At 47.6% G+C, this 18,405-nt stretch overlaps 1 protein-coding gene across 6 annotated transcripts in view, besides 2 other annotated features; it reads left to right on the forward strand.

The window, feature by feature from the left end:
* The window catches only part of GPR107 (G protein-coupled receptor 107), an 86,259-nt gene that overhangs the window by 48,848 nt on the left and 19,006 nt on the right, over positions 1 to 18,405 (forward strand). For 3 of the 6 annotated variants that reach the window (NM_020960.5, NM_001287346.2, XM_017014953.3), the window contains exons 13-14: positions 1,667 to 1,797; positions 4,743 to 4,786. In NM_020960.5, the coding sequence (NP_066011.2) occupies positions 1,667 to 1,797; positions 4,743 to 4,786 (175 nt within the window). Of the gene's footprint in view, positions 1 to 1,666; positions 1,798 to 4,742; positions 4,787 to 7,616; positions 7,674 to 11,823; positions 11,911 to 18,405 lie in introns of all 6 variants that reach the window. The other 3 variants (XR_007061336.1, NM_001136558.2, NM_001136557.2) reach the window with 2 other exon arrangements.
* Positions 13,137 to 13,682: an enhancer, noted in NCBI's record as "H3K27ac-H3K4me1 hESC enhancer chr9:132878169-132878714 (GRCh37/hg19 assembly coordinates)". NCBI's record gives its function as "activates a minimal SCP1, AML or CMV promoter by ChIP-STARR-seq in primed H9 embryonic stem cells {active_cell/tissue: H9 hESC(primed)}" and the evidence as "EXISTENCE:reporter gene assay evidence [ECO:0000049][PMID:30033119]".
* Positions 16,159 to 17,107: an enhancer, noted in NCBI's record as "H3K27ac-H3K4me1 hESC enhancer chr9:132881191-132882139 (GRCh37/hg19 assembly coordinates)". NCBI's record gives its function as "activates a minimal SCP1, AML or CMV promoter by ChIP-STARR-seq in primed H9 embryonic stem cells {active_cell/tissue: H9 hESC(primed)}" and the evidence as "EXISTENCE:reporter gene assay evidence [ECO:0000049][PMID:30033119]".

Raw genomic sequence — 18,405 nt, forward strand, 5'->3', positions numbered from 1 at the left:
TTGAATTTAAGATGTGAAAGCCTTTGTTTTCTACTTTGTCCTCTTACTTTTAGACAGGGTCTCACTCTGTCGCCCGGGCTGGAGTACAGTGGTGATCATGGCTCACTGCAGCCCTAAACTCCTGGGCTCAGGCGATCCTCCTGCCTCAGTCTCCCGAGTAGCTGAGACCACAGACGTACACCATCACACCTGACTAATTTTTAATTTTTTTTTTTTAATTAGAGGCCGTGTCTCACTATTTTGCCCAGGCTGGTGTCAAACTCCTGGGCTCAAGCAATCCTTCTGCCTTGGCTCCCCAAATTTCTGGGATTATGGGTATGAGCCACCGCACCCAGCCCTACTTTGTCTTTTTAGATGGAGCCACAGATGCTAGTGTTTTGGATAGACAGGGCTTCACGAGCAGTGTGGGACAGGGAAGGACCCAGAAGCTGGGGGTCATTGGAGAGGCTGAAATTTCAGATAATTTTTGCATTAGTTTTAAATGAAATTTCGGATAATTTGATTCTAAGTCCTGTATAGAAAGAGAAATTAAACTTAGAGACTTCCTAAATAATAGCACTACAGATTTTACATGCAAAGTGTGGAGGATTACCTTTTACAGCAAGTCAGGCAGAGATTTGGGACCAGGGACTTCTCATGGGGTATATAGGTGGAATGATAACCTCTGCATCCATTCCCAGTGGTAATCTTCAAAAGGATGTATTATAAGTGGTAAATTTCCCTTATGCTCTGTGGCATCTCAGTTTAGCCAGTGGAAAGACTTTTTATAAAGACTTATGCTAAGAGCCTAATAACGGGCCTGAGTACAGAGCTTAATAGTGGGCCTGAGTATATGAGGCTGTAGGGCTGGAATCAGCCATGCTCACCCTCTGGTCTCTGAAAACACAGTTCCATTGTCTGGCACTTAGATGAGTTATTGTCACTGAGCACCATGGCCTGAAAAGTATGGGCATTGTGGCTAAATAGGGTGTTAAGTGCCACCTATCCAGCAGTCCAGCACCTGAGTGACTCCACTGGGTTTGGGGTACCTGAAAAGCAAAGTGTCCCTGTTATCTACTGCTGCATAACAAATCACCCCAAAACTCAGCGACTTAAAACGACAATAACCCGTCATTCTCTCTCTCAGTTTCTGTGGGTTAGGAATTCAAGAGTGGCTAGCTGGGTAGGTCTGACTTGGGTCTTGTGGTCATAGTCACACCATGGCTGGGAGCATCTTGAAGTCTCCACTCGCATCTGTCTTCTGGGCTGAGAAGCTTGCTCAGGTGGGGACTGGGACAGCCGGGGCTCCTGGGGGGGCCTTTCCATCTCTGCATGGTCTGTACAGCAGGGTAGTTTCAGGGTAGCCAGACTTCTTACAAGAAGGCTTAGGGCTCCAAAGGTCCCAAGAGAGCTGGGTGGAAGCTTTATCTACCTTGGAAATCACACAGCAGTACTTCCATCTTACTGTATTAGAGCAATTACGGCCTGTGCAGATTCAGGGGGGTGGCATAGAGACTCTCCTTGATAGCGGAGTGGCAGAGTTCTGGAAGAGCACGTGGGACTGGAAAGAATGCTGTGGTCGCAGATCGTGGGTCTGGAGGCCAAGGTGTACACCCCACATTGGGGCTGCTAGCATCATAACAGTCCACCCATGCTTTGGGGCCTCAGCAACTTCTCATGTCTGTAGGTCCTGGCAAATGTAGCCTACATCATCATAGAGTCCACCGAGGAGGGCACGACTGAATATGGCTTGTGGAAGGACTCTCTATTTCTGGTCGACCTGTTGTGTTGTGGTGCCATCCTCTTCCCAGTGGTGTGGTGAGTAGCTCACAGGGAGGGAGGCCACATGACAGCTTGGCTGTCAAGCCCAATAGCTGAACTGGCCATTCCCAAACTGATCTCAGTCACATGGGACGTGTGTTTAAAAGTACAGCTTTCTGAGTCCCAGACTGACCTGAATCAGCCTCCAGGGGCAGAACCCTGTGTCTTTTTCCAGTTACTCGGGGTATTCTGGCAGAGCTAATCCGTCACCATGAGCTGGCATTTAACAGAGTTCTAAGACAATAGAGAGGAATTGGGAAATGAGAACTTGGTAGTAACTTAAAGTAGCAGCCTGAATTTGTGGTGGTGGTAGGGAGTTGGAGAAATCCCATAAACAGCCAGTTCTTGCCAACTTAGGTGGAAAATGAGGAAGTTCATTAACATAAAACTAGTGATAGTTCTCAGCACACAAACATTTTTGATGTTTTCAGAATGGATTGCTCCATTCCTGGAAATGGCAGTGTTTAGATGCACAGATTGTGCATTGGGTCTGTGTAAAGAAGTGTTAGTGTCAAGTCAGTGGTTGATGAGAAAATATCCTTATTAAATCACATGCAGAGTGGTAGAAATTCAGAAGGCTAGCAGCAATAAAACACTTTACCCTTAGTGATATAATTCCATGGCTATTGGAATGCAATTCTTTTGAAATAAATTTTAAAGAAAATAGATTCACCCCGGCCTTCCATTACAAGTGCTTCTTTTTTTTTTTTTTAACCCGAGATGGAGTTTCGCTCTTGTTGCCCAGGGTGGAGTGCAATGGCTCAATCTCGGCCCACTGCAACCTCTGCCTCCTGGGTTCAAGTGATTCTCCTGCCTCAGCCTCCTGAGTAGCTGGGATTACAGGTGCGTGTCACCATGCCTGGCTAATTTTTTTTGTATTTTTAGTAGAGACAGGGTTTCGCCATTTTGGCCAGGCTGGTCTCAAACTCCTGACCTCCGGTGATCCACTTGCCTTGTCCTCCCAAAGTGCTGGGATTATAGGCATGAGTCACCGCAGCTGGCTGAGGTGCTTCTTATTGCAATGCCCCATCCAGTAAATTAATATTTTTGAGGATCCTGGGGTTTGTCAGTTACTCTCATTATTTATAACATGGTGCAAATGGAGAGTACTTCTCATTCCAGCCAGTTAGATTCACTCTTCACCCTCATTCCATCATACATCACACATGATCTCGTATCAGTTCAGCAGACAGCTACCAGCATAGAAGAGAGTATGAATGATGCTCCCACCTCAGCCTCCTGGGTAGCTGGGACCACAGGCACACACTACCATACCCAGCCAATTTTTTGTAGACAGGGTTTTGCCATGTTGCCCAGGCTGGTCTCAAACTCCTGGGTTCAAGTGATCTTCCCACCTCAGCCTCCCAAAGTGCTGGGATTATAGGCATGAGCCACCGCACCCAGTGGAATATGAATGACTCTTCCTCCTCACTGCAGCCTCCTGCCGTCCTGCACAGGAATTAGTCACTCGGGTATCTAACATAGGATGTCCAGCATTGTTTCCAGATCGAAAAGAGCACCTCATTAGGGAACAGAGGTTCACACCCTACTTTTACACATGCCACTATCAGAATAGTCAAATATAAGGAACCCCAACAAGCTGTCGAGGTGTAAGCAGCCATTTCCTGCCCCTTGTTAATTACAACACTAATGAGCAGATTCCAAATGGCAAAATTCCTTAAGGTAAATATCCTAAAAATTACTGTAAAATGAAAAAAGTCAGTAAGTACTGGAGAGGTGATTCAAGATTAATAATATTTTTAGGCTGGGCGCGGTGGTTCACGCCTGTAATCCCAGCACTTTGGGAGGCTGAGGTGGGCGGATCACGAGGTCAAGAGATCGAGACCATCCTGGCCAACATGGCAAAACCCCATCTTAACTAAAAATATAAAAATTAGCTGGGCGTGGTAGCATGTGCCTGTAGTCCCAGCTACTCGGGAGGCTGAGGCAGGAGAATTGCTTGAACCCAGGAGGCGGAGGTTGCAGTGAGCCAAGATCATGCCACTGCACTCCAGCCTGGCGACAGAACAAGACTCTGTCTCAAAATAAATAAATAAATAAATAAATAATAATAATAATAATAATACTTGTAAATATCCCGATTCAGCCAGCATTGCTTCAGGGCCAGCAGTGTACTGGTTAGCTTTCGTGTGGTGTTCCATTCAGTTCTCAAGCAGATAGCCCCTCTCACAGGTGGGCAAATTACGGAGGATTTAGGAAGAGTAATTGATTTGCTGACAAGAGTGAGTGACAGTGTCAGACCACAGCCGCCTTCCCTCACACAGCCTGTCTGCCTGTGCCCTGTTCAGCCCTCAGGGAAGTCTCTCTGTTGGTGGCTTTTCATGGTGCCTCCACCTCTCACCTGCGGCTCCTGTAATAATGTTAATGTTCCTCTGCCTGAAATGTAATGATGGTCATTAGGTACCAGCACATCACAGCCCCAGACAGTGTCCCTGGAGGCTGGCATTTTTCAGCAGTGTTAAAAATCTCCACTCGATAAGTTTGCATGGTGCTGTATGTTCACAGCTCTTAGACCTAGACTCTAGAAGTCAGCTGGTGACTTTCTTCTAGGGTTTATTCTCTCCTGGTGGCAGGTGAGCCCAGTGATGCTCCATTGTCATGGGAGTGTTGGGTAGGGGGTGGTTGTGGGAGTGAGAGATTAACAGGAGCATTAAATGATGGAGTTTTGTTTTCTCCTCACGCTCTGGTCCCTGCTAGACTTATTGCCACAGATTTGGCCAGCAGAGGGCGACTTTACCTCAGACGTGTTGATATCAACCATTTCCCCCCCTCTACCCGTTTTAGGGAGAGTGCTCTAAAGTGATGTAGTCCAACCTTTCAGCATGTAATTGAGAAATTCAGCCTCAAGTTACTAGAGCTGGAAATAGAGAGGAGTGCAGATTTGTCAGCTAACTTTTTGTTCTCTAAATGTTTATTTTTAGGTCAATCAGACATTTACAAGAAGCATCAGCAACAGATGGAAAAGGCAAGTTCTCTCGTGCTCATTTTGTGTTGCTCAGCTTGCTCTGAACCCACGTGCTGCGGCACTGCGGAGGAGTGGAGGCAGCCTATGGTGTCAAGATGCTGTCTTCCTGGGAGGAGAGCTAGGGGAGGCCTGGGGCCCACTTCGTGAGAGCAGCCAGGGGTAGTTTGGAGAAGGAGGTGTTGAGTCAGTTGTATAAGGAGGAGGTTGGGGGTGACTGCTGCTTATTAAGATGATTCATTTCATTTCCACTCGTGGTTGTGATTTTCACCTTCTCAAAACTGAGTCAGCAAGAGAAAATCTTGTCTTAGAAGGGCCAGATAACACTTCGCTGTGAGAACAGGAGGGATAATGGATTGGAGATGGCTATGTGTAAAGCAGCCCTGCCTGCTGATTTAACACACTTTCAAAATAGATGTGTCAGTATTCATTTAAAGCAAGACTCTGATGACAGAAGGAACCTTGAAAACTACCTGATATTGAAATGGTTGTGCCCTTTATAGCCCTTTTGCATCTCCTTGACTTTCCAGTCATGCCTCCTAAATCAGAAGAAAAGCTGCAAAGAAAATGTTTTGTGTGGTTCTGGGCTTATTTGAATAATGTTCATGACCACAGGCTGCCATAGCACAAGTGAGAATTTCAGACCACAAGGGTTTAAGGAGCAGTGCTCTCTTCTCTCAAAGCTCAGAACGGTCTCTGGATCCATGGTATCGTACACCCAGTGTGGATATTAACATTCTTTAATGCAGGTTATGAATAATAAATAAAACAGGTTTTTGTTAATAAAGTTTTGTTGCTGACTCTATTTCTGATTATAAAGCCAATGTAGATTCATTTTAGAAAATTCGGAAAATGCATAGTAGCTGTAAATCTTCTTTCACAAACCTGGTATATAACTAATAACGCATTATTTCTTTAAGTTAAATTAAACATGACTTTGAGGCTTCACGCCAGGGTCAGCCCTAGGTTGTTATTTAGAGCACAGTATTCTGGAGGATCTCGCCAGTTTGGGCCTGGAACAGATAGTATGGCATTCCTGCTGTCCAGGTTCACGTAACTCTTGCTCCTAGGCAGCCTGTGTGCAAGTCATACCCAGGCTTGGAGCCTTGGTCAGTGGTCAGAGGCCAGCCTCCCAAGGCCCACTCAGCTTCTGCGACCTGCACCAGCTTTTGTTTTCTTTCTAGTCCTGGGAATAGCCCTTCTCCCGTTTTCTCATTTTTTTCCCCTCAAAGATACCAGGTTCCCTTCTTTTCCCTCTGGAGTGTCCTCTTGTGATAGGTTCTTTTCAGTGGCTTTAAGCAGGTTCTTTTCAGTGGCTTTAAGCAGGAGTCACAGAGCTTTTGCTTCTAGCCGGGCTACATAGCCTTTCTTGGAGCCCAGTAAAGCACCCTGCCATCATTAGAAAAACCCAAGGTAGGAAGTACAAATCCACCTCTAGGAATAATTGGGGATATTCTTTTTTTTTTTTTTTTTTTTTTTTGAGACGGAGTTTTGCTCTTTTTGCCCAGGCTAGAGTGCAATGGCATGATCTCGGCTTACTGCAACCTCCACCTCCTGGGTTCAAGCAATTCTTCTGCCTCAGCCTCCCAAGTAGCTGGGATTACAGGCGCCTGCCAGCACGCCTGGCTAATTTGGGGATATTCTTCTTTTTTAAGACAGAGCTTTGCTCTGTCACCCAAGCTAGAATGCAGTGGCACGATCTCTGCTCTCTGTAGCCTCTGCCTTCTGGGTTCAAGCGATTCTCCTTCCTCAGCCTCCCAAGTAGCTGGGATTACAGGTGCCTGCTACCACGCTCAGCTAATTTTTGTGTTTTTAGTACAGATGAGGTTTCACCACCTTGGCCAGGCTGGTCTCGAACTCCTGACCTCAAGTGATCTGCCTGCCTCGGCCTCCCAAAGTGCTGGGATTACAGATGTGAACCACCACGCCCAGCCTCTTTGGGGATATTCTTGTCCTTATTTTTCTTTTATCGTGTTATATAAGAAGGTAGTTTTATTATATTTGTAACTTGGTGAACAGGTAGTCTTTTTCTTTCTTTTTTTTTTTTTTTGGAGACGAAGTCTCGCACTGTCTGCCAGGCTGGAGTGCAGTGATGCGATCTCAGCTCACTGCTACCTCTGCCTCCCAGCTTCAAGCGATTCTCCTGCCTCAGCCTCCCAAATAGCTGGGATTACAGGCACCCACCACCACACCCAGCTAATGTTTTGTATTTTTAGTAGAGACAGGGTTCCACTATGTTGGCCAGGCTGGTCGCAAACTCCTGACCTCGCGATCCACCTGCCTCGGCCTCCCAAAGTGCTGGGATTACAGGCATGAGCCCCCGCGCCCGGCTAGGCTTTTTCTTATTTTAATATATCGCGATGAGACCATTTAACTTTATTATCTTATACACTTCTGTATTTCTCATTGGTTCTTCCGGCTGTTTGGCTAAAAATGTGTAAAAATCCCAAGGGCGGTGCTTTTTGTTGGCGAGGCTTACCTGTGTGTTTCTCTTTGCTCGATCCTGCCCGTTGATGAATTCCTCCCTTCTTTGCGTCCTCCCCGGCCCCTGCTTCGTCCTCCTGACTCGTCTACCTGTTCGGTCCTCCATCTTGCTTTAGCGAGTGTGGGGTGGCTGTGGTGACTGCCACTGGGACCATTTATTCCACCTGAGGTTGGTTGGTAGCTGAGGATCTTAGTAAGGTGCTCTGTCTGGAGTAGATGGCACAGCAGGTGAGGCAGCATGGGGTCAGCGTTGTCCCCCAGCATCTGTAGTAAAGGGTAACTTCCTTTAACAGGAACGCTTTTGTCATGGCCTGGGCACACAAGGCAGTTTCTCATTTTTTTCCACCAGGTGACAGCATGGGACCTCTTCAGCAGAGAGCGAATCTAAGAGCAGGAAGTCGCATAGGTAAACCAGGGTTCACATTCCCCATTCTTAGGAAGACATCTGCTAAGGAAGCACCCATTTCTCATCAGCAAATATCACAAATACTCTGAAAGAGGGACAGAGCAGATTAGAACGGGATTGTCATTTTGGTTCATGTTCTTTTCCCTGAATTGATTGAGGCTGTGAGATGCTTTTGGGCATCACTCTGTACCCTGAAAAGTGGTTATGCTTGCGACACTCCCAGAGCCAGAGCAGCCGTGTTCCCAGCTGGAGCCTCCCCTGCAGAGAGGTCTCAGGAATGGCCTGTGCTGGAGCTGCCCTCGGTTGTGACTACAGGGCGGCTATGTGCTGTGAAGCTTGCGGGAAAGCGGGAGTGGGCATGCTTCCAGTCGCTGGTGCTGGGATCTGTGGCCCCATTGGCCCTCTGTGCCCCCTCAGTTCACTCCTGAGATCTGGAGGCAACTAGGAGCACAAAGGCTACAGGCAATAATGTCTCCTATTAGATTTGGAAGCTTTGCTGGATAGAGCCTGACATTCTGTTTCCTGTTCTCAGGCTCATTATTCCAGTGACTCATTTCATGGCCTTGACAGTAACTTGGGCTTTTCTTTTTTTTAATTTAAAATTTTTGTAGAGATGAGGTCTCACTCTGTTGCCCAGGCTGGTCTTAAACTCCTAACCTCAAGCCATCGTCCTGCCTCATGAGGCCTCCCAAAATGCTGGCATTACAGGTGTGAGCCACTGCATCTGGCCACTTCGGGCTTAAGAATCTCACTTTTAGGCCAGGCATGGTGGCTTAGGCCTGTAATGCTAGCGCTTTGGGAGGCCGAGGCAGGAGGATTGCTTGAGGCCAGGAGTTTTAGACCAGCCTGGGTGACATAATAGCAAGATCCCATCTCTACCAAAACCACACAAAAAACTGTGGCAGACCAGCCTGGGCAACATGGCAAAACCCCACCTCTAGAAAAAGATACAAAAATTATCGGGGCTTGATGGCACACGCCTGTAGTCCCAGCTACTTGGGAGGGTGAGGTGAGAAGATCACTTGAGCCCAGGAGATCAAGGCTACAGTGAGCTGAGATTGTACCACTGTACTCCAGCTTGGGCAACAGAGCCAGACCCTATCTCAAAACAACAACAACAACAAAACACTATGGCAAAGAATCTCATTTTTAGTTTAGGTGCAGTCCAGGCCCAGTAACTGCAAGTGAGAGACATGCCATTTGTAGTTTTCCTTCCTGCATTGGGGTGAATACAGCTTTCCGTTTTGGGGTGAATACAGCTTTCAGTTTTGGGGTGAATACAGTTTTCAGTTTTGGGGTGAATACAGCTTTCAGAGAGTGTTTGTTTGGCTTTTACTTTGTTGTCTCTGGATTCCTTTTGACCAAACCTGAGGGAAATCTAAAGGAAAGCATTGAGGCCGAAGCTGCCCACTGTCCTTTAGCCGCGTCTTTGTCTCTCCTGTCACGCGCAGTGGCTTCTCTCAGGTCCTCGGTCACTGAGACTCACAGCTGCACTGCATCCTCCGAGAGGGAGCTTAATTGAGTCTCGCACAGACACACCTAGCGCTGGCTCCACTCTGTCTCGCCTGCTAAGATTTACTGGCTCTGACTGCCCTTGAGCCCGCATCCGCGTTCCCTTCTCTTTCTCCAGTGTCATTACCTTATAGGACTGGCGTCGAGATACACACCGTAAATTTAATTAACAGTCTCTGCTGCTCACCATCCTTTTTTTGGGCCTTGTGTTTCTGAGGAAAAGTCAGAAGATGTATTCTGAAGAGCCTTAGCTTTCATGTGAGCTTCAGAAGTATTTAAACAATCCCGGTTGGCTGGCTGCAGAGTTGATGGAGGAACGGCTTCATTCCGAGGTGCCGCCGTGCTCTGAAAGGAGCCGCGACCATGCGAGGCATTTGTTAGGGCAGCGGTTCTCAAGGGGGTCCTCGGGATCAAAACTATTTTCATAATCATACGGTGTGAGTCTCTTGTGCTGTTGACATTTGCCTGATGGTGAAAAGCAATGATGGGTGAAATTGCCGGCACCGTCACGTGATTCCAGGCTGTGGTACCAGAATCTGCCAGTAGCCACTGCATTCTTTACTGTCACCTACTCACAGGGGGTGAAAAAGGCTCATATCACTTAAGAATGGTCTTGAAATAATAAAACTGTTGATGTGATTAAATCTCAACCCTTGCCTTTTAATATTCTGTGAGACAGCATGGGAGGTGTGCACACAGCACTGCTGCTGGGCCTGAAGTGTGATGGGTGTGGCCTTGAGGGAAAGTACGTGTGCACTTGTTTGAATTGCAAGCTGAACTAGCTGCTTTTATTTTATTTTTTTGTTGTTTTTTATTTATTTATTTTTTTGAGACAGGGTCTTGCACTGTTGCCCAGGCTGGAGTCCAGTGGTGTAATCTTGGCTTACTGCAGCCTCAACCTCCTGGGCCCAACCGATCCTCTCACCTCAGCCCTCAAAGTAGCTAGGACTACAGGCGTGTGCTGCTATGCCTGGCTAATTTTTGTATTTTTTGTAGAGATAGGATTTTGTCATATTGCCCAGGCTAGTCTCAAACTCCTGAGCTCAAGTGATCCACCCACCTAGGCCTCCCAGAGTACTGAGATAACAGGCATGAGCCACTGTGCCTGGCCAAGCTGCTTTTATCTGGAAGAATGACTGTTATGGTGACACAGACATGGGTTTGTGGTGGACATTTTCTTGAAAATGAACAAAGTGAACATATTACTTCAACAAAAACAACTAATAGTATTTGTTGCCAGTGATAAAAGAAAACTTGTGTTTATCCCTGTCAGCCTGACAGTTTCCTAACTGACAGTTTCCCAGATCTTTTTTTTTTTTTTTTTTTTTCCTTGAGTCAGGCTGGAGTGCAATGGCACAATCTCAGCTCACTGCAGCCTTGACCTCCTGGGCTCAAGTGAGCCTCCCACTGCAGCCTCCTGAGTAGGTGGGACTACAGGTCTTTCCACCATGCCCGGCTAATTCTTATATTTTTTGTAGAGACGGGGTCTCAATTTGTTGCCCAAGCTGGTCTCAAACTCTGACCTCAAGTGATCCACCCACCTCGGCCTCCCAAAGTGCTGGGATTATAGGTGTGAGCCACCACACCCGGCCAGTTTCCCAGTTCTTATAAGACTTATGATGTAAGCAGAGGTGATACTAACAATGTGATTTTTTTAAGAATTCTATAATAAAATGTTTCTGTATCTGGGAGATCTACATAACACACTGAAACATTGTCTTCCACCTGGCCAGTGCAGGATGTTCCATAGTCATGCATGGGGGTAAAAGCTCTCCTGAAAGTGCAGGATGGACCAGTGGAGTTTATTAATGTAAGAGTGTGGAAAGTTCATTGATAAATTTCAGATTCCCCACCTCCCTCATCTTTAGAAGCAACCTCTTGTCAGGTTTTAATGTAGAATCACAGACTATTCACAGTAATCTGAAAAGGCCTACATCTATCTGTATGGGGCCAGATTTTCTTCATATATTTTCACCAAATACTCCCTCACAGCAAGTTGAATGCTGATTGAATCAAATATGAGAACCCAGCTGCATGTTATTAAGCTAGACATTAAAGAGAATTACAAAAATAATTCTGGTCTTCTCATTCTTTTTTTTTTTTTTTTTTTTCATTTTTTTTTTTTAGAAAAGAGGTTTTTTATTTTGGGGCCAGGCACAGTGGCTTATGCCTGTAATCCCAGCACTTTGGGAGGCGGAGGCAAACGGATCAGTTGAGGTCAGGAGTTCGAGACCAGCCTGGCCAACATGGTAAAACCCTGTCTCTACTAAAAATACAAAAATTAGCTGAGCGTGGTAGCGCACACCTGTAATCCCAGCTACTCGAGAAGCTGAGGTAGAAGGATTGCTTGAACCCGGGAGGCGGAGTTTGCAGTGAATTGAGATTGTGCCACTGCACTCCAGCCTGGGCCGCAGAGTAAGACTCCGTCTCGAAAAAATATATACATATATTATTAATTAATTTTAGAGACAGGGTCCTGTGTCACGCAGGCTGGAGTGCAGTGGTGTGATCATAGTTCATTGTAACCTCAAACTCCTAGGCTCATGTGATCGTCTCATCTTAGTCTCCCAAGTAGCTGGAATTACAGGCATGCACTACCATGCCTCACTAATTTTTAAAATTTTTTTTGTGGAGATAGAGTCTCACCATTTTGCCCAGGCTGATCTTGAACTCCTGGCCTCTAGCTGTCCTCCTGCCTCAGTCTCCCAAAGGGCTGGGATTACAGGTGTGAGCCACTGGACCCATCCTGTTTTACTTTCTGATCCATATTTGTAGATATAATCATACTAACCGAAAAACTTGGGGTCTTTAGGAATTTTTAAAAGTGTGAAAAGGTCTTCAGACCAAAAGGTGGAGAACTGCTGTGTTAGAGATGAGGCTTGTTGAGTCTCTCATGGACATGGGGATGTGAAGATGAGTGAAAGCCTGTCTGGTTCTTCTCTTCCTTTGCCTATTAAGCTTATTCCAGACTTAGCTGGCCAGATGCTTGTGGTTGTTTAAGATGTCTGTTAGTCCAGGGCAGCTTATGCCAAAGAACTCTGTTGTATCTGGGTGTGTTCATATAAACAGACCTAACAAAAAACCTACTAGGGAAGACAAGAGGAGAAATAATCACTGAGTGCATCATGGCTGCAACTCATGTTTATATATTTAATTCTTATTTTTCATCCTTGCTTTCCTTGATTGGTGGTTTTTATCCCTTTGGGGAATAATAGACCTATTTGAGAATCTAGTGAGAGATATAGACTTCCCATGTCTACATAAAGTTTTCCATGTAATATCATGGATTCATGGACCCCAGATTTAATAACCTCTTCTTTAGATTAATTTAAATCATCTTATTACCCTTCTACAGTGATTTGGATAGGAACACACCAGCCGCATGATGTGAGACTTCCCAGAAGGACTCATTCCCAGAAGAGATCCTCCCCCTTTTTTCCGCTCATTTTTTTCTTGCTTTCTCTTTTCTATCACTTCCACTGGAATGGACCTCAAAGAGCAGTTCTGCTCTGGTCCTTTTTGTTTTCTTTTAAAAAAAAAAATAGGCCAGGCACGGTGGCTCTCACCTGTAATCCCAGCACTTCGGGAAGACGAGGTAGGTGGGTTGCTTGAGGCCAGGAGATCGAGACCATCCTGGCTAACACGGCGAAACCCCATCTCTACTAAAAATACAAAAAATTAGCTGGCGTGGTGGTGGGTGCCTGTAGTGCCAGCTACTCGGGAGGCTGAGGCAGGAGAATGGTGTGAAACCGGGAGACAGCTTGCAGTGAGCTGAGATCGCACCACTGCACTCCAGCCTGGGCGACAGAGCAAGACTCCGTCTCAAAAAAAAAAAAAAAAAAAAAAATTAGCCAGCCGTGATGGTGCACATCTGTAACCCCAGCTACTTGGGAGGCTCAAGTGATCTGCCTGCCTCGGCCTCTCAAAGTGCTGGGATTACAGGCATGAGCCACCGTGCCCAGCCAATGTGTGTTTTTTATTAAGCTGATTTAATACAGTGATTTTAAATTTCTTTAATCACCAAAACTCTCTTGTCATTACTTTTCCTTAGCAGATTGCACTCTATTCCTGTAATGCCATCAACTGAGTCGCAGCTTCTGATGAACATTATGAAATAATCCATTAACCAGTGATACCACTCTCAGTTCATTTAAGCTACATCCAAAAGCAGAGGTCTCTCATATCATCCGGCTGAGAAGCAGTCTTGTCTTGGACACATTGCCAGGCTTTTTTAGGCCTTTAAAGTGTTGGGAATCTAGAACTTCAGGGGGCCCACAGCCACCCAGAGGGCCTGGTTAGTGGTCCGTGGTGGCAGACCCTCCCTGGACCTGCCTGGGCCTGGTTCTTCTGCCTACTGGTGTTAACATGCATGTGCTTTCTGTGTGTCTTGAGACATTGTTGAGAACCAACTCTTCTCAACTGATGACTGCAGTATTTAGGGAAGGTCAGATTCTCTTGCTGAGAAGGTTTTGCCTGCTATTAACCAGCCTTTGTCATCAAGCATTGGGAAGTCTGACCTTCATCCTTGCCTAGCTCGCTGCTGTGACTGTGTGCAGTGGACAGGAGGGGTTGGGGGTAATGTGCGCCTCAGCCCAGCTGCAGGGTTGCGTCCCAAGTCTCACTGGCATAGCTCACAGCATTGCGGCTGCAGGCTGCGGCTGGCAGAGAAACAGGAGAGACTGACGGGAGCTGAGTCTGAGATCAGCGTGGCCCTTTGCACACCACCTTCTCGGGTGCCTTTGGTGCATTATGGCTCTAGAATCGAAGGTAAATAGGAGCTGGAAACCTAACAGGCTTGGCAACAGAAGTCTTTGTCAGAGCTAGCTTTCCTGGTATTGTGTGGTCTTTAGTGCTACTCTGAGGAGCTGTTTCTGCTGCTTTTGTTGATGCTTTTTATTTATCATTTAAGATATAATTTCGTTTACAATAATATGCACAGTCCTTAACTGTTCAGTTTGATGACTTTTCATATCTCCTGGGTCATTGCTTCAAATGTATATTTGAAATGTATTTTTTTTTTTTTTTGAGACAGAGTTTCGCTCTTATTGCCCAGGCTGGAGTGCAATGGTGCGATCTCAGCTCACTGCAACCTCTGCCTCCTGGGTTCAAGCGATTCTCCTGCCTCAGTCTCCTGAGTAGCTGGGATTACAGGCATGCACCACCACGCCTGGTTAATTTTTGTATTTTTAGTAGAGATGAGGTTTTACCATGTTGGCCAGGCTGGTCTCAAATTCCTGACCTCAGGTGATCGGCGCTCCTCAGCCACCCATAGTGCTGAGATTACAGGTGTGAGCCACCATGCCTGGCCAGAAATGTATTTTCGATTCATTTTCACATGACTCAACATTTTGAAGATCAAAGAATTTTATTCTGTGTGTAGTTGTTCTTGACCACTCGTAGCCTTTCCCATACTTGCTCCTGATATGGTCTTTGAGTGGGATTAGTGGGATCTTTTCTTAGTGGAGGCCAGAGGGCAGCTCGTGAACTAAACCCTCCCCAGAAGGGACATTTCAGGCCAGTGTGGTCTCAGGTCAGCCCGTGGCCTGCGTCCTTTGGTGCCTTTCTGGTGACTGAGAGAAGCTGTTCGCCAGACTTTCAGGCCTGTATCTGACCACAAACGGGGGAGCTCCTCTGTCCCCCATGCTGAGTGAGCTGGAGCCCAGGACTTAAGCAGATTGTGGAAATGCCGAGACTCAGCGTAAGTCAGAGGTACTCTTAACGCCAGCCAGGCTGTCCATCGTCTTTATTTCTTTAATTTTTGTGTTTGACTCAAAATTCCCTCTGAAGCCCAGCAGAGAGGAAGCAGGCAACAAGGATGAAGAGTAGGTGGGGGTGTTTTAGGCTCTGAGGCTGTCCTTACACTCAGGGAAGGATTGTTTTAGAAATTTTTCACGCTTTAAGTGGCTGTTGTGGGCCTTTGCTTCTGTGTGCCGCATAAATCATGTGGTGTAAACTCCTTAGAAAGGATTACTGCCTGCTCTTGGGCATCACCCAGCCTTTTGAGTCATGATTGCATCGTCCTGAACTAATCGTCCTGACCTGTGTCGTCCTAAAGTCACTAGTGGACTTTAAGGTTATGAACTGCCTTTCCCTTAGCATGAAGCGTAGGTGTTAAGAGCTTGGTCCTTGGAGGGAGGTGGACTTGGGTTTGCGTATTGGCTTCTCCACTTACAAGCTGGGTAACTTTGGTCATTTACTAAACTTCTCCAGGCCTGAGTGTGTCAGGCCTGCTTCCCCCACAGAGGCCATCGTGAGATGAAGCATGAGAGGTGCCCAGCCCAGCTTCTGGCACATGGTGATGACTCAGTTGATGGCAACGACCAGTGCTGTTGTTTTTGTCCTTGTTACAGTTCCAGGATCCTCTTGGGAAGTCAGCTGGGAAGGAGGGGATAATCTGTCTCCTTGCTGGCCTTCTTAGTTCCTCTTTCACTCAGAGAGGACAGGGGACCACCTAGGGCAGGGGCAGCACCTCCTGTGCACTGTGGGGGGCGTTGCTCTTCTGCTGAGTCATGGAGAGTATTGACTTGGGCATTTGCAGGGGCTGTGGTATTTCCTGCCTCAGTGGGCACTTGTCCTGTTCTCATCAGTAAGAAGGACTTACCAGAATCGAGTGTCATGGTTATTTTCCTCAGAGTGAGTTGGAGGTAGAGGAGCCCACAGGACAGGAGGTCAGCCTTACAGGACCCCCAAGACCAGGTGGACATGACACCCTCCCCAACCCCCGTCTCCTCCTTTTCTCTCCCCTGCAGAGGTTTCAGCATCTTCATAGCCGGGCCTGATTCCCTAAGATGGGCAGGGGCAGGGGCAGCCTGGGCATCTATACTTAAAGCTCTTCCGATGATTCTGTTGCTCACCCCCATTAAGAACCATTGCTATAAAGGAATTCTCCTCCACATGAGGAGGTCGATGCCTGGAGACAGAGGCAGCAGGCCAAGGGCAGGCACACCCAGCTGAGATGGGGCAGGGCTGGAAGGCAGGCCTCCTGGATCCTGCCTGGGGCCTTGTCTCTCTCCCCACACTCATTCTTTCACCGTATTTGCTGCTCCTCATGGTGAGGTCAGAAATAGCCCGCCCAGCCTTGGTGAGCCTTCGCTCCCACAGGAGCCCAACACCCAGCCCGCCACAGTCCGGTGAGCAGCAGGCTGTCGGTGTTCCTAAGTCAGGGAAATCTTTGGAAGAACAATGGAGGGAGTCGTGGGACCCCAGGCTGCGACCTGCTGCCTGGCTGCTCACTGCATCATGCTGGTTTCACCCTGCTCAGAGCGGGCTCCACCCCTGCTCGGCATCCTGACTCATCCTATGCATATGGCAGCGCTGCTTGCAGGAGAGCCCAGGCGCCCTGGCAGCCCCCAGGTCCCCATTTGTTCCAGTTTTACTCACTGGATTCTTGCCAGAGGTGGCAGCCGCTGTGACACAGTATATGCTACATTTGGTATTGGGCTAATCCTATATGACACTAACACTGTCATGGCAAGTAGCCAACTGCTCACTGCGAGCCAGCTGCTTTCTGTGTACTATCCCATTAATTCCCCAGCAACCCTAAGGGCGGGCATCGTTACTTCTGCCTTAACAGGTGAAGAAACCGAGGCTCAGAGAGGGTTAGCTGACTTATCGGAGGCCACACAGCCAGTGAGCAGCAGAGTTGGAATTTGAACCCAGGATGTTCAGTCGTGCAGGGCCCAGACTTTTAACCCCCCTGCTCTCCTTTTTCTTACTCCACGAGTAAGCTCAGTCCCTGCCTCTGCTGCTTCAGCTGTGACTGGAGCTCCAGTGTAGGGCTTGAGAGCCTCACCCCCGCCAACTGCTGTCTGATAAAGGAATGTCTTATGCGTGACTGGAAATGATGGCATCACGACTGGTGGGTTTTTATTTTTAGTCTGTTTTTTTTGTTTGTTTGTTTGTTTGTTTGTTTGTTTTACTGAGACAGGTACTCACTCACCCAAGCTGGAGTGCCAGTGGCACAGTCACGGCTTACTTTGGCCTCAGCCTCCCCTCCTACCTCAGCCTCTCAAGTAGCTGGGACTACAGCCATGTGTCACCATGTCCAGCTGGTTTATGTTTATTTTTAGTAGAGACAGGGTCTCCCTATGTTGCCCAGGCTGGTCTCTCCCTCCGGGGCTCAGCCTCCCAAAGTACTGGGATTATAGGCATGAGCCAGCCTGCTGGGTTTTGGAAACAACTGTGAGCTCTGCTTATTCTAACTACATTTCTCAAAGACAGCACTTGTTGTCCCCAAGGTCCATTTGTCAGTCTTAGCACCTACATGGCCTAGCATCTGCGCCGTGGTGATGTTTCTTCACTGGTGCCTGTGTGGGGCGCGCAGGCTCATTTATGGAGAGGCTCATTTATGGAGCGGCTCATAGCCCACCTCCCTTCAGAGGGTGTCTTGCCTGAGCCTGGAGGATGTGACGTGGCGACGCATGATGCCAGGGAGGTGCCAGGCAGAGTGCCTTCCTCTCTTTTGCTCTCACCCCACCCCGGTCCTTACTTGGTTAAGACCTGCAGTGCCTTAACCTCTTTGCTTTCTCTCAGTCCCCTCCCCATCCGCATTTCCTTCCCTGTGAAAGGAGAGACCCGTCAGACTTTACCTTGAAGATTCTCTCTGCTGTCTTCAACTTCATTGCCTTGTTGCTCTTCCTTCTTTCCTAGCAGCCACTGAGGTGGGATCAGCCTGCTGTTCACTGCCCCATCCACTCCTCGATCGCTCTGCATCGATGGACATCTCACTGCCTTTTAGAGGGGCCTCCGCAGAGTCAAGGTCTTTGACCTCATTTGGGCTTTTCCTCTTTTTTCTCTCCATCCTTCCTCCACGGAGGGATTGTTCTCAAGTGTAGACCTGATCGTGGTGTTGCCTAAAGCCTTTGGGAGGCTGGTTCGAAGGTGGCTGTGACCCCTCTCCGTTGATTTTTCAGTTACAGATCGAACTCCTTGTTCTGCTCTTTCCCTTCTCACTGCTGCAGTTGACTAGTTTAAAAAACAAACAAACGGGCTGGCAGGGTGGCTCATGCCTGCAATCCTGGCAGTTTGGAAAACAGATGGGAGGATTGCTTGAGCTCAGGAATTCGAGACCAGCCTGGGCAACGTAGTGAGACCCTGTCTCCATAAGAAGTTAGCTGGACGCGATGGTGTGCGCCTGTAGTCCCAGCTGTTTGAGATCATGTAAGCCCAGCAGGCTGAGGCTTCAGTGAACCATCATCACACCACTGCACTCCAGCCTGGG

The sequence above is a fragment of the Homo sapiens genome, chromosome 9 (genome assembly GCF_000001405.40).
Source record: "Homo sapiens chromosome 9, GRCh38.p14 Primary Assembly".
In the NCBI taxonomy this organism is placed as follows: Eukaryota; Metazoa; Chordata; class Mammalia; order Primates; family Hominidae; genus Homo; species Homo sapiens.